We start from the raw sequence: 15,645 nt of genomic DNA on the forward strand, positions 1-15,645 counted from the left end.
TCTATGTCTTTTGATTGGAAAGTTCAATCCATTTACATTCATTATTATTTATAAGTAAGGATTTACTCCTGCCATATTACTTGTTTTCTGGTTGTTTTGTGGCCTTCTTTCTTGCCTTCCTGTCTTCCTTTAGTGAAGGTGATTTTCTCTGGTGATATTATTTAGTTTCTCACTTTTTATTTTTTGTGTATCCATTGTATGTTTTCTGGTTTGAGGCTACCATGAGGCTTGCAGATACTATCTTATAACCCATTATTTTAAGCTGGTCACAAGTTAGCACTGTTTGCATAAACACACAAAAAGACAACAATAAAAAACTCTAGTTTTTATTAGTCCCCTTAACGAAATTAGAAAACACCAAGCAGAAATTCTGGAGCTGCCTTTGTCCCCCTTAACTTTGTCCCCCTGCTTTTTAGCTTTTTGTTGTTTCTATTTATATGTTAATTGTACTGTCTATGTCTTGAAAAATTATTTTTTATTGGTTCATTGTTTAGTCTTTCTGCTTAGGATAAGGGTATTACACACCACAGTGGGAGTGTTATGATATTCTGTGTTTTTCTATGTACTTACTATCACCAGTGAGTTTTGTACCTTCAAAGTGATTACTTATTGCTTATTGACACCCTTTTCTTTCTGACTGAAATAGTCCCTTCAGCATTTCTTATAGTACAGGTCTAGTGTTGATGAAATCCCTCAGCTTTTGTCGGGGAAAGTTTATTTTTCCTCCATGTTTGAAGGATATTTTCACCAGATATACTATTCTAGGGTAAAACTTTTTTTCTTTCAGCACTTTAAGTATGTCATGCCACTCTCCTGGTCTGTAAGGTTTCCACTGAAAAGTCTGCTACCAGACATATTGGAGTTCCATTATAGGATATTTGTTTATTTTGTCTTGCTGCTTTTAGGATGCTTTCTTTATCCTTGATCTTTGGGAGTTTGATTATTAAATGCCTTGAGGTAGTCTTCTTTGGATTAAATCTGCTTGGTGTTCTATAGCCTGCTGGTACTTGGATATTGATATATTTCTCCATGTTTGGGAAGTTCTCTGTTATTATCCCTTTGAATAAACTTTCTGCCCCTGTCTGTACCTCCTCTTAAAGGCCAATAACTCTTAGATTTGCCCATTTGAGGCTATTTTCTAGACCCTGTAGACATGCTTCATTTTTTTTTATTCTTTTTTCTTTTGTCTCCCCTGACCGTGTATTTTCAAATAGCATGTCTTCAAGTTTATTAATTCTTCCTTCTTCTTGATCAGGTCTGTTATTAAAGGACTCTGATGCATTCTTCAGTATGCCAGTTGCATTTTTGAGCTCCAGAGTCTCTGCTTGAATCTTTTTAATTATTTCAATCTCTATGTTAAATTGATCTGATAGAATGCTGAATTCCTTCTCTGTGTCATCTTAAATTCATTGAGTTTCCTCAGCTATTTTGAATTCTTTGTCGGGAAGGTGACATATCTCGTTTCTCCATGATTGCTTCCTGGTGCCTTATTTAGGTCGTTTGGTGAGGTCCTGTTTTCCTGGATGGTATTGATGCTAGTAAAGACCACAGTTACTTTTGCACTAACCACAGTTACTTTTGTACTAACCTAGTAAAGACCACAGTTACTTTTGCACTAACCTAGTAGATGTTCTTCAGTGTCTGGCCATTGAAGAGGTAGACATTTATTATAGTCTTCACTGTCTGAGCTTGTTTGTACCCCTCCTTTGGAAGGCTTCCAGGTATCTGAAAGGACTTGGTGTTGTGATCTATGCTCTATCTGCCTTAGGGAGCACCCCAAGCCCAGTAACACTGTGCACCACCTTGATGGTCTTGAATAAGATCCAGGAGAACTCTCTGGATTACCCGGCAGAAGCTCTTGTTTTCTTCCCTTACTTTCTTCCAAACAAATGGAGTCTCTCTGTCCTGAGCCACCTAAAGCTGGGGTGGAGTGACACAAGCACCCCTGTGGCCACATCACTGACGGCACTGGGTCAGACCTGAAGGCAGCACAGCACTGGGTCTGTAACCACTCCCTGGCTGCTGCCTATGTTCACTCAACACCCTGGGGCTCTGCCATCTGCTGTTGGCAAAGCCAGCCAGGCCTGTGTCTTTCTCCTCAGGGTAGCGAGTTCCCCCAGACCCTGGATGGTCCAGAGGTGCTGTCAGGAACTAGGGTCAAAAACCTTGGAAGCCTACCTGGTGTTCTATTGTACTCAAGCTGTGCTGGCACTGAACCACAAGACACAGTTCTCCCCCACTCTTTCCTCCCCTTTCCAAAAGCAGGGGAGCCTCACCCCTTAGCCACCACCACCACGGGCCCTGGGGAGTACCGCCGGACCACCACTCACGTTCCCTTAAGGCCTGAGGGCTCTTCAGTCAGTTTGTGGTGAACGCTGCCTGGCCTGGGACTCACCCTTCAAGGCAGGGGGCTCCATTCTGGCCCAGGGCAGGTCCAGAGATGCCATCCAAGAGTCAAGTTCTGGAACTGGGGACCCCGAGAGCCCACCTGGTGCTCTGCCCCTCTGTGGTGATGCTGGTACCTAAAGGACAAGACAAGGTCCTCTGCTTTTCCCTCCACTTTTCGCAAGCAGAAGGAGCTTCGCCCTGCAGCACAGGTGGGAATGTGCCAAGTCTCACCTGAAGCCAGCAATTCTCAGAGGCTCACCAAGGCCCTCAATGTAGTACCTGGGTGTCGCTGCTGGTTATTCAGGGCCCAAGAGCTCTTCAGTTAGCAGGTGATGAATGCTTCCAGGACTGGGTCTTTCCCTTAAATGAAATGGGTTCCCTTCTCACCCAGGGTGTGTCTAGAAATGTCATCCAGGAGCTAGGTCCTAGAACAGGGCCTCACAAATCTGACCGGTGCCCTGTCCTGCTGTGGCTGAGCTGGTATCCGAGATGCCAGACAACGTCCTCCCCACTCTTCCCTCTTCTCTCATCAAGCAGAAGGAAGGAGGCTCTTTTGGAGCTTCGAGCTCTGCAGCCTGGGATTAGGGGAGGGGTGAGGCCAGCACTTCCTTGGCTACCCCAGCTGGTTTCTCCATAAGTTGCATGCCCCTTCAGTCCACTATCTGTGGGCCCAGTTCAGCACTAAGACTCACCTATGAGTTGCAGTACTTATGGCCTAGACTGCCTTTCAAATTTCTTTACAGACCTAGAGCACCTTAGCTCTTGTTGCTAAAGGTTTGCAGGAACTCAAGTTCCCCACCACTGTGATCAGCGATCCCCTCTGTCTAGGCATGGCTTAAATGCTCCCTCGGTGGGCAGGTGTCAGCTGAGCTTGGTCTGGCACTGAGTTCTATGTCTCTCAACTGCTGTGTTCTCCTCCCCCAGTGCCCACAGACTCTGCACCACGCCACCCCTGCTGGGGGTGGGGACGGGTGGCGTCTGCAATTCAGGACTGTTTTCTCTATCTCTTCAGTGCCTCTTTCAGCAATACAGAGTTAAGACCAGGTACTATGAGGGCTCACCTGATGTTTGGTTCTCATGAAGGTGTTTTTTCTGTGTAGATAGTTGTTAGATTGGTGTCCTCGTGGGGGTGGGGGTGGGGGATCGGCAGAGCCATCTGTTCTGCCATCTTTCTCTGCCTCCCCATGATAAAATTGAGCATAATTAAGTAAACGCAGTTCCCATATTTCCAAGTTTGGGGATTCCCCACCCAAGCATCACCCTCCAACTTTCACAGGACCACAAAGAGACATTCATATAAATAAAAACACGGCAATACACAGAAACAAAATACTGAGTCACTGGGAGCCCCAGCACAGTGGTTGTGGTGCCCGTTTTCAAATGTTCATCGGACCACTCAGTGGTGTCCCATTCAACTATTTCCTCTCCCCTTTGCGAAAATCAGCGTCTTCCGTGGAAAATTACAGATTGAATTGAATAGTTGGTTTTTGATGTGATAAATTTTCTGATACTAACTATAAAGCTCATTATAGGAAAAGTGCTTGGAGAAGACATTCAGATGATATATTTCTTTGGATCAGGCATGTTGATACTTATGTAAACTTAACAATAATCATTGAATAAAGTAGAACTGCAGGTTATTTTTTAGAGAATGAGAAACTTTTTAAATATCTTCGAGCATCAAAGTTACGCAGATAGTGACTGGTAGAGTCCGGATTTCAACCCGGGTATCCTGTTTCACACCCCTCCACACTTTCTCTAGGATGTACTGCTGTTCACTGTTTTTTTTTTTTAGACAGTCTCACTCTGTTGCCCAGGCTAAAGTGCGTGGTGCAGTCTTGGCTCACTGCAGCCTCCGACCTCCTGGGGCTCAAATGATCCTTTCACTTCAGTCTCCTGAGTAGCTGGGATTACAGGCTCACACCACCACACCCAGCTAAATATTTAGGGTTTTTTTTGTAGAGGTAAGGTTTCACCATGTTGCCCAGGCTTGTCTTGAACCCCTGGGCTCAGGCCATCTGCCCGCCTCGGCCTCCAAAAGTGCTGGAATTACAGACGTGAGCCATCGCGCCCGGCCCATTCACTTTTTTCCAATCACAACCAAAAGCCCTTTACATCTAAGGCACCCAGATAGTCTCAAATTTTATCACATTTCCAATTATAGGTATTTGTTTGTTTAGAAAAGGAAGTTGACTATTAAAATTCTAATGATAAAGAAATGATACTTATTCAGTTAGGAAATATTATAAGGTCACTATAAATCGCATTTGGTACATGCTGATATAATGAATTATAATCTTGTTTGGAAAGAATTCAATGCACGAATCCTCATATAATGAAATGGCTATTTCTCTTTGCAACACCAGAATCAAAGACTTGAGAATTTATTTTTCCTCCTATTATTCAAGAAATATTACAAAATGCAGTTTCATTATCATTAGGATATACTTAAACTACTGGGTGTTACAAGATCTAATCTCTGGGACAATATCTGCATTAAAGACTCTGTCAGCTCAACCCCTTCTCTGCAAATGATAACAAAATATATAACTAAATGATCTTTTTTTTTTTTTTTGGAGACGGAGTCTCGCTCTTTCACCCAGGCTGGAGTCCAGTGGTGCGATCTCGGCTCACTGCAAACCTCCACCTCCCAGGTTCAAGTGATTCTTTTGCCTTAGCCTCCTGAGTAGCTGGGACTACAGGCGCACGTCACCATGCCCAGCTAATTTTTGTGTTTTTAATAGAGACAGGGTTTCACCGTATTGGCGAGGCTGGTCTTGAACTCCTGACCTCATGATCTGCCCACCTCAGCCTCCCAAAGTGCTGGGATTACACGTGTGAGCCACCACGCCTGGCCAACTAAATGATCTTTAAGATGCCAATAAGAGCTTTCCCTGCCACACACACACACACACACACACACACACACACAAACACGAATTAAGAAACTGGAGTAATGTTGATTCTGAAAATTACTCTTTCTTTCTTTAATTTCTATCGATTCACTCCCTGCTATAAAAGATGACAGTTATCACACATTCTTCCTTCATTCACCCACTTTCCAAATTTTCTGTAGAGTTATAATTTGTAAAATTGTATATTTTGTCCTGTAATTTACACAATTGGTCAGTTTTGATTCTGTAATAAACGATTCACTGCTCACCCCTAGTCCTTTTCCCCGGCTAAATTCCTATTAACACAATTTGCAGGATGGATTTTATTGTCTAGTAATTCTTTCAGGAAGCATTCAAGGATGTTGGACTCCTACATGTTTGCGTCTCTGTCATGTCAGTCGGCTATCTTCATGGTTTGCTGTAGGATTCTCGTGCAGCAGTTTCTTCCCTCAAGACATGATAGAAATTGCCGTGCCTTGGTGTTACCTGAGGTTGCACCTGATCTAAAACCAAACTGATTTTCTCCCCTTGTGCTTAACTTGCTTTTCCTGGTACTTTCTTTCTTTTTTACTCCTTCCCCTTTCCTTTCTGCTTTCCTTCCTGCCTTCTGTTTTTTTGCCTTTGTCTTTTTTTTGAGTTTACATTTCCTTTTCATTTTTCTCTATATAGTTCATGATTTTCTTTCCATTCCAAAAGTTTTCTAGGAGATTGTTTCTTAATTACAAATATTTAGTGTTTACTTTACAAATATTTAAGATTTTTTTTTTTTTGAGACAGGTTTTGCTGTGTCACCCAGGCTGGAGTGCAGTGGTGTGATGTCGGTTCCCTGAAGCCTCAGCCTCCTGGTCTCAAGCAATCCTCCCACCTCCCAGTCTCCCAAGCAGCTGGGACTACAAGTGCATGCCACCACACCTGGCTAATTTTTGTGTTTTTTTGTTTTTTTTTATAGATGAGGTTTCACCATGTTGCCCAGGCTGGTGTCGAACTGCTGGGCTTAAGTGATCCGCCTGCTTTGGCCTCACAAAGTGCTGTGATTATAGGCATGAACTACCATGCCTGAGCCAAATATTTAAGATTTTTATCACTTTCTAAATCTTTTTCTATTTACAGGACATCTCCCACTTAGCATCAGTAATTCATTCTGAAAATCCACTGTTTCATGCTGAAATGTCAGTGGGAGATCTATTTCCCATTATCTTCAATGGAAAATTATGATAATGCCTTAGCTTATATATCCTACGCAGGCTCCCAGTTTCCTGAAGGGTAACTGAGCAGTGAGATACCCACGTGGAAGGAATACGACATCACATTAGGGTGCAAAGTGTTTAAAACATCACTTCCAGGTCACTAAACGGTTAATATGCCTATGACATCATTGCTCTGTGTCTGCCAGCGGGGGCCGGGCATCCCCACAGCACCAGCACCTCCCACAGCTTCTACAGAGATTCAGATGTGTTGACAATTATATTTGGAACGCAACAAGGGATGTTTCCCACGTATTGTTATGTTGAGGTTGGTATTTATTGAGTTTTAAGGATATAAATTAAATTTTCTATAGAAAGAAGCCTGGGAAATGTTGCATAGAGAGGTGCATATAGCCTAAGAATTTAGCTATTACAAATAAAGAAGCATTATCCTAGGAAAACGTTAACCAGGAGACATTCTTAAAGGGTATACCTGTATTTATCCTTTTTTTAAAAAGTTATATCTTGGAAATGTTTGAAGTATATACAAAGTAAACAGAGTAGTGTGATGAGACCCTGGCACCCACTACTCACCTTCAGCAATCGACACGTGGACATTCTTGTATCACCTTTGACTCCCTCCCTCCCAGTCAATTATTTCTTTTACAGTTTTTAGTTTTTGAGGTAAAATTTATATACATTGAAATGCAAAAAGCAAACCCAGACAATTTCAACAAGTGGATACATCCATGTAATTCATACCTCTCTCCAGATGTAGGATGTTTCACTCTTCCAGAAAATTCCATCATGGTCTTTCCGAGAGACAACCACTGTTTCTTTTCTTTTTTTTTTTTTTAATTGATCATTCTTGGGTGTTTCTCGCAGAGGGGGATTTGGCAGGGTCATAGGACAATAGTAGAGGGAAGGTCAGCAGATAAACAAGTGAACAAAGGTCTCTGGCTTCCCTAGGCAGAGGACCCTGCAGCCTTCCGCAGTGTTTGTGTCCCTGGGTACTTGAGATTAGGGAGTGGTGATGACTCTTAAGGAGCATGCTGCCTTCAAGCATCTGTTTAACAAAGCACATCTTGCACCGCCCTTAATCCATTTAACCCTGAGTGGACACAGCACATGTTTCAGAGAGCACAGGGTTGGGGGCAAGGTCACAGATCAACAGGATCCCAAGGCAGAAGAATTTTTCTTAGTACAGAACAAAATGAAAAGTCTCCCATGTCTACCTCTTTCTACACAGACACGGCAACCATCCGATTTCTCAATCTTTTCCCCACCTTTCCCCCTTTTCTATTCCACAAAACCGCCATTGCCATCATGGCCCGTTCTCAATGAGCTGCTGGGCACACCTCCCAGACGGGGTGGCGGCCGGGCAGAGGGGCTCCTCACTTCCCAGTAGGGGCGCCAGGCAGAGGCGCCCCTCACCTCCCGGACGGGGCGGCTGGCCGGGCGGGGGGCTGACCCCCCCACCTCCCTCCCGGATGGGGTGTCAGCCGGGCAGAGACGCTCCTCACATCCCAGACAGGGCGGCGGGGCAGAGGCGCTCCCCACATCTCAGACGATGGGCGGCCGGGCAGAGACGCTCCTCACTTCCTAGATGGGATGGCGGCCGGGAAGAGACGCTCCTCACTTCCTAGATGGGATGGCGGCAGGGAAGAGACGCTCCTCACTTCCTAGATGGGATGGCGGCCGGGCAGAGATGCTCCTCACTTTCCAGACTGGGCAGCCAGGCAGAGGGGCTCCCCACATCTCAGACGATGGGCGGCGGGGCAGAGACGCTCCTCACTTCCTAGATGGGATGGCGGCCGGGAAGAGACGCTCCTCACTTCCTAGATGGGATGGCGGCCGGGAAGAGACGCTCCTCACTTCCTAGATGGGATGGCGGCCGGGCAGAGACGCTCCTCACTTTCCAGACTGGGCAGCCAGGCAGAGGGGCTCCTCACATCCCAGACGATGGGCGGCCAGGCAGAGACGCTCCTCACTTCCCAGACGGGGTGGCGGCCGGGCAGAGGCTGCAATCTCTGCACTTTGGGAGGCCAAGGCAGGCGGCTGGGAGGTGGAGGCTGCAGCGAGCCGAGATCACGCCACTGCACTCCAGCCTGGGCACCATTGAGCACTGAGTGAACGAGACTCCGTCTGCAATCCCGGCACCTCGGGAGGCCGAGGCTGGCGGATCACTCGCGGTTAGGAGCTGGAGACCAGCCCGGCCAACACAGCGAAAGCCCGTCTCCACCAAAAAAATACGAAAACCAGTCAGGCGTGGCGGCGCGCACCTGCAATCACAGGCACTCGGCAGGCTGAGGCAGGAGAATCAGGCAGGGAGGTTGCAGTGAGCCGAGATGGCGGCAGCACAGTCCAGCCTCGGCTCGGCATGAGAGGGAGACCGTGGAAAGAGGGAGAGGGGAGACCATGGAAAGGGGAGAGGGAGAGGGAGAGGGAGAGGGAGAGGGAGAGGGCAACCACTGTTTCAATTACATTACAGATGCTCCATGACTTACAGTGGGGTTATATTCCAATACACCCATTGTCAGTTGAAAATATCCTAAGTTGAAAATGCATTTAACCTACCTAACCTACCAAATGTAGCTTAGCCTCGCCTACCTTAAACATTCTCAGAACACTTACATTAGCCTACAGTTGGACAAAATTAACACAAAGCCTATTTATAACAAAGTGTTGACACTAGTTGGAAAGAAAAATTTTTAAGTGTCAAATACTGTACTGAAAGTGAAAAAGTATGGTCGCATGGGTACAGTTACTACTGAATGCATGTCACCTTTGCACCATCATAAAGTCGAAAAATTAAGTCGGCCATCATAAGTTGGGGACCGTCTGTACTTTTGCCCATTCTAGAACTTAAGTGAATTCATGCAGACAATGTGTACTCTTCCTCTTCTAGCTTCTTTCACTCAGAATAGTGTCTGTGGGTTCACCATATGTGAGGTGAAGCTAATTCCATTCCTTTCGAGAGCTAAGTGAGACTCCATTGTGTGACACACCACGACTTGTTTATTCATTCTGCTGCTGGTGGGCATTTGGATTCTCTCCAGTTTTTTGGCTGTTAGGAATAAAGCCGCTTTGAATTTTCTTATACACATCTTGTTGTGGACATATGTTTTCCCATTTCTTGGAAGACTCTCTGGGACTGGGATTGCTAGGTCATGTAGTAAATGTATGCCCAGATTCTGAGAGCACTGCCAAGCGCCTTTCCAAAGCAGGTTTGCCAGCCTATATTCACAGCAGGCTGTGGGAGTTCTCAGTGCTGACGTCACAGCCAACATTGCATCTTTTTAATTTTATTCATTCTGATGGGCGCATAATGTTATCCCTTGGTTTTTATTTGCATTTTTCTGATGACTAATGACGTTGAGAACTTTTTTCTGTGTGCTTATTGTCCATTTGCACATCTTTTTCTGTGACGTGTCTGTTCAAGTTTTTTGACCATTTTAAAAGTTGGCTTGTTGATCTTTTCCTTGCTGAGTAATGAAAGTTCTTTATATGTTCAGAATACCAGTTCTTCATCAGAGGTTTTCTTGTGAATGTTTCTCCCCAATCTATTGCTTGTGTATTCCTTTCTAAAATGGTGTCTGTTGATGACAGAGGTTTTCCTTTGAATTAAAGCTAATGTATCTGTTATTTCTCGTGTAGTTATTGCCTTCTGTGTCTTATCTAAGAAATCTTTGTTCAGGTCACAAAGATATTCCCATGATTTTTTTCTAAAATTTTTACAGTTTTAGCTTTTATATTTAGGTTTGCCATGCATCTCAAAATAATTTTTGTGTATAATGTGATACGGATGTTCAGGTTCTTTTTTTTCTTTCTTCCTTTCCTCACCCACCTCTCACTGTAGTGCAGATAGCCATCCATTTCAGCACTACCAGTTGAAAACACTTTTCCTTCCTCATTGAATTATTCTGGCTTCTTTGTCAAAAATCAATTGATGGAAAAAGTGTGGGGTCTATTTCTGGACTCTGTGGTATGTTCCAGGAGTCTTTTTGTGTCTTCTTATGCCAGAACCAGACCATTTGGATTACTGTGGCTTTGGACTGTCTTGAAGTTAGATAGTAAAGTCCTCTAGCTGTAGTCTTCTTTTTCAAGATTGTTTCAACTTTTCTAGGTTCTTTGGGTTTTCATGTAAATTTTACAATCAACTTATCCATTTCTATTTTTAAAAACATGCTGGATTATGAGTGGGGTTGCATTAAATCTACAGATAAACTTGGAGAAAACAATGCACTTAATCTGGAGTCTTTCAATCTGTGAACACAATTTATTTATCTAGTTGTGGGGTTTTTGGTAATTTATCTCAATAATGTTTTATAGTTTTCAGTCCTAAGATTTGCAAGTCTCGTGTTAAATTTGTTACAGATATTGTTTCTGCTATTTTTTGATGGTGTTTTAAATGCAGTTATCTCTTATTTTCCAGTAGTTTGTTGACAGAACATAAAAACGCAATTGATTTTTGTGTATGTTGGCCTTGTATCCTGAGACCTTGCTAAACTCATAGTTTCACTGATGGTTTTGATGATTTTTTAGGATTTTCTACATAAACAATCATGTCATCTATGAATAGGCACAGTTTCACTCCTTCCTTTTCAATCTTTATGCTTTTGTTTATTTTTCACATAAGACTTGTACTTATTTTGTTAGATTTATACCTGTATTCATCTGTCTCTAATTTGCGGGGGAGCAGTTTTCTCCGTTACCTCAATTCTCTGATGGATCTAAGGAGAAACATTGATTTTCAGTCTGCCCAGCCTTTTTATTCTGTGAGGATGGGAGTGACGACTTCCAAGCTCCTTATATGTTGGGAAAGAAATCAGAAGTCTCTCTGCTATTTTCTTCTTAGCTAAACTCTGCATTAATTTCTTGTGTCTGCTGTGGAGATTATATTATACATCTAATGCAATTTACCAGAACCCACTTAATGTTGTGCTATTTCATGTAAAATAAAGGAATCTTGGAATGGTATGTTTCTGTTTAACCTCCTCTCACCCTTTTTCTATTATTATCATATATATTTTATCTACATACATCATAAACCCCACCATACAGTTTTATAATTTTTGCTTTAAACATTATATATATGGGCCCAGCTTCAGTGTCTGCTGCTAACGAATGGGACCTTCCACAACAGGAGCCACGTCAGCACGGGTGAGAGGGGCCCACATCAGGCTTAAGCACGGCCTCTTTGCCGTCGAGGCTGCCATGTTCATGGGCCCACTGGGTGAGCACTGGGGTGGCTAGCTGACACTTACAGAATGACCCATCCCGTCCAGCAGATTCTGTGCCTCCTCCACAGTGGATGTTTACAGCTGGGCATTAATGTGCAGTGCAGGGAGTTGCACAGTTGGGGCACATGACCGCCGGCCCATGCACGTGCTTCATCCTGTTTTCCCCGTCAACAGCAGGGAAACAGCCAACGGCTGTGTGTTGACTACCCATCTGTCTCAGTAGGCGGTGGGAACAAGCCACACAGTTCATTTCATTCCCTACAGAGCACTTCATTCTTGCTACTTTTCATGACAATGTTGTCCACCTGGCCTCTGCTCAGCCAGAATTCTGGAATTAAACTAACCTCAGTGATGCAGGGAGGCCCGTCTTAGGGCAGCATCTCCTATCACCAGTTCTGGCCCATGGAGGACAGCAACCCCTGCAAAATCAGTGCCCTCCAACAACTGGAGCATCCCTCCTGTGTTCATGAAGGGAGTGCCCTCTAGGCCCCACGTGCAGAGTTAGCTGGTGGGTTCCCAGGTCTCATATATTAGACTCATTCTAACATGCCCGCCTCACTGAGCCTTTCAAGGCCTTTCCTGGCACCCTGGAAATTGCCTGGGCAATTCTGGTAGCACTGGGCAGTACAGGTGATCTGCCTATTTCCTAGGGTTCCAGAAGCTGCCCCAGTAATGGCTCCAGTAACCCTTGCCACGGCTGAGAAACCCTGAGTCATGGGTGAATTCCCCCAAAGAGACAAACTTTCCCTTATCTTGCCTCATATTTTGCATGCACACACACATACACACGCATGCATGCACACCATCTCCATCCCATCTACACACATCCACCCACATATCCACCTGCCATCTCCATCCCATCTACACACATCCACCCACATATCCACACACCACCTCCATCCCATCTACACACATCCACACATGTGCATGCACCATCTCCATCCCATCTACACACATCCACCCACATATCCACACACCACCTCCATCCCATCTACACACATCCACCCACATATCCACCTGCCATCTCCATCCCATCTACACACATGCACACACATATCCACACACCACCTCCATCCCATCTACACACATGCACACCCACATATCCACCTGCCATCTCCATCCCATCTACACACATCCACCCACATATCCACCTGCCATCTCCATCCCATCTACACACACCCACCCACATATCCACCTGCCATCTCCATCCTATCTACACACATCCACACACATATCCACACGCCATCTCCATCCCATCTACACACATGCACACATGTGCATGCACCATCTCCATCCCATCTACACACATCCACCCACATATCCACCTGCCATCTCCATCCCATCTACACACACCCACCCACATATCCACCTGCCATCTCCATCCTATCTACACACATCCACACACATATCCACACACCATCTCCATCCCATCTACACACAGGGTCGAGCGCTCTCAAGATCCATCCCCAGGCATAGTCTCCTCATTCCTGCTGGTTTCTGTTCGCCATGTCTCAGCCCCACCGGCAGTAACTTATCCCCTCCATGAGCAGGGCTCTCCCTTCCCAGGTTGCCCAGGCTGAGACTGGACACTAGTTAAGCGCTTGGCAGACAGAAGGGCCGTTCTTAAGAGGGCAAGTGTAGTTTTGCTAGGCATGGGCCCTGAGTGGGGCTCCTCACGGGCTTTGAGTAGGGGCCTGGTGTTTCCAGAAAGGAGGGATGAGTCCCACCCGCCCATGCTTCGGACAAGCTGAGGCCCCTTCTTCCCTCTTGGGGTCTGCCCCTGGGAGCTATGCTAAGGCTGAGATTCAGCCGTCTTCAGTTCTCCAGCCTCACGGCCACATCCTGCTCCTGACCCGCAGCACAGCCGGCCCTGGGAAAGGAAGCAAGAGCCCCTTAGACTCTGTGAGGAGGCCTCTGTGCCCTTTGCCTGGCCCTCATTGTCCTGGAAACTTTTCTGGGTTTCTGGTGAGACAAGATGCTCTGGAGACAGCCATTTCCAAGGCTGAGGTTAATGCAGGTGACGGGGCAGTCCAGGGCAGGAGCCGGAGACAGCCGTTTCCAAGGCTGAGGTTAACGCAGGAGACGGGGAAGGCCAGGGCAGGAGCAGTTGCCCCCAGAGCCCTCCCCACCTCCACACACAACAGCCCTCTCCCCACGCAGCAGGAGGGAAAAGGATCCCACTCCTGAGAGGTTGCGCTGGGCATTCTGGGCTCAAGGACAACAGCAGAGCCAATCATGGGAATTAAATAAAAGGCCTCTTGCTGATCAGGAAAGGGAGCCGAGGCCCCGGGTGCAGGTGGTGAGACGTGGACCCCAGGCGTGGCATTGGAGGCTCCTCCAGGGACAGCATTGATCTGGTTGCCCAGGACAGGCACAGCTCATACTGTGTTCTGGAGCCGTGGACGGAAGCCCCTCCCTCTCAGCAGTGTCTCTGTGTGGATGACAGATTGTCAACACCCTACTTAAGAGACGAGAACTCCAGACGGTGACTATTGCTAGGGCTCCCCCAAAGCAGACAGCCCCCGCCTCCTCTCCCGGCTTCTCTCAGTCAGGAGCTGACACCCAAGGGTCACCAGACAGGCAGAGACGAAAAGAAGAAAGGAACTCCCTAGAAACTGAGACAATGAAGAAAAAGGAACGCCTTTCCAAAAACTATAATAAACATCCTCAGAGAAATCAGAAGAAAGGGCCGGGTGCGGTGGCTCATGCCTGTAATCCCAGCACTTTGGGAGGCTGAGGTGGGTGGATCACCTGAGATGAGGCATTCGAGACCAGCCTGGCCAACATGGTGAAACCCCGTCTCTACTAAAAATACAGAAATTGGTTGGGTGTGGTGGAGCATGCCTGGAATCCCATCTCATCGGGAGGCTGAAGCAGGAGAATCGCTTGAACCTGGGAGGCGGAGGTCACAGTGAGCTGAGATCGCACCACTGCACTCAGCCTGGGCGATAGAGTGAGACTCAGTCTCAAAAAAACAAGCAAGCAAAGTATTGTTCCTGGGTGTGTCTGTGAGGATGTTGCCAAAGGAAATTAACATTTGAGTCGGTGGATGGGGAAAGGCAGTCCCACCCTCAATCTGGGTGGGCACCGTCTAATCAGCTGCCAGCGTGGCCAGAATAAAAGCAGACAGAAGAACATGGAAAGGCTCGACTGGTTTAGTCTTCTGGCCTCCATGTGTCCCGTGCTGGATGCTACCCTCCCTCGAACAGGGACTCCAAGTTCTTCAGCTTTGGGACTCGGACTGGCTTCCTTGGTCCTCAGCTTGCAGATGGCCTATTGTGGAACCTCACGATTGTGTGAGTAAGACTCCTTAATAAACTCCGTTTATATATACATCTATCCTATTAATTCTGTCCCTCTAGAAAACCCCAATACAGTCATACAATAAAGGACAAAGTTATAAAAGACCCATATATGGATATCTATAGATGTAGATACACACACATATAATGAGAATGATAAAATGAGATCTCTGCCTCACAATATAAACAAAAATAAATTCCCAGATGGATTACAGGCCTAAATATGAAAGCAAAACTGTAAAACTTTTACAAGAGAAGGAAACATCAGGATAAGGGAGAATTTTCTAAGCCAGAAACAGGAAGCGTGGCCTTAAAGGGAATAATAAAAAATGTGATCTATTTTTTGCCAAATGAAAAGACAACTACATTGCAGGATAAGGTATTTGCAAACCCAGAGGAGTGGTATCCAAATTATGTGACATGGACTCCTAAAAGTCAATCAAAAATAAAAAGAAAACCAGTTTTTTCTTTGTTTTTTTTTTGTTTTTTTTTTTTTTTTGAGATGGAATCTTGCTCTGGAGTGCAGTGGTGCGATCTCGGCTCAGTCCAAGCTCCGCCTCCCGGGTTCACGCCATTCTCCTGCCTCAGCCTCCCAAGTAGCTGGGACTACAGGTGCCCGCCACCACGCCCGGCT

The sequence above is a fragment of the Homo sapiens genome, chromosome 4, assembly GCF_000001405.40.
Source record: "Homo sapiens chromosome 4, GRCh38.p14 Primary Assembly".
Classification (NCBI taxonomy): Eukaryota; Metazoa; Chordata; class Mammalia; order Primates; family Hominidae; genus Homo; species Homo sapiens.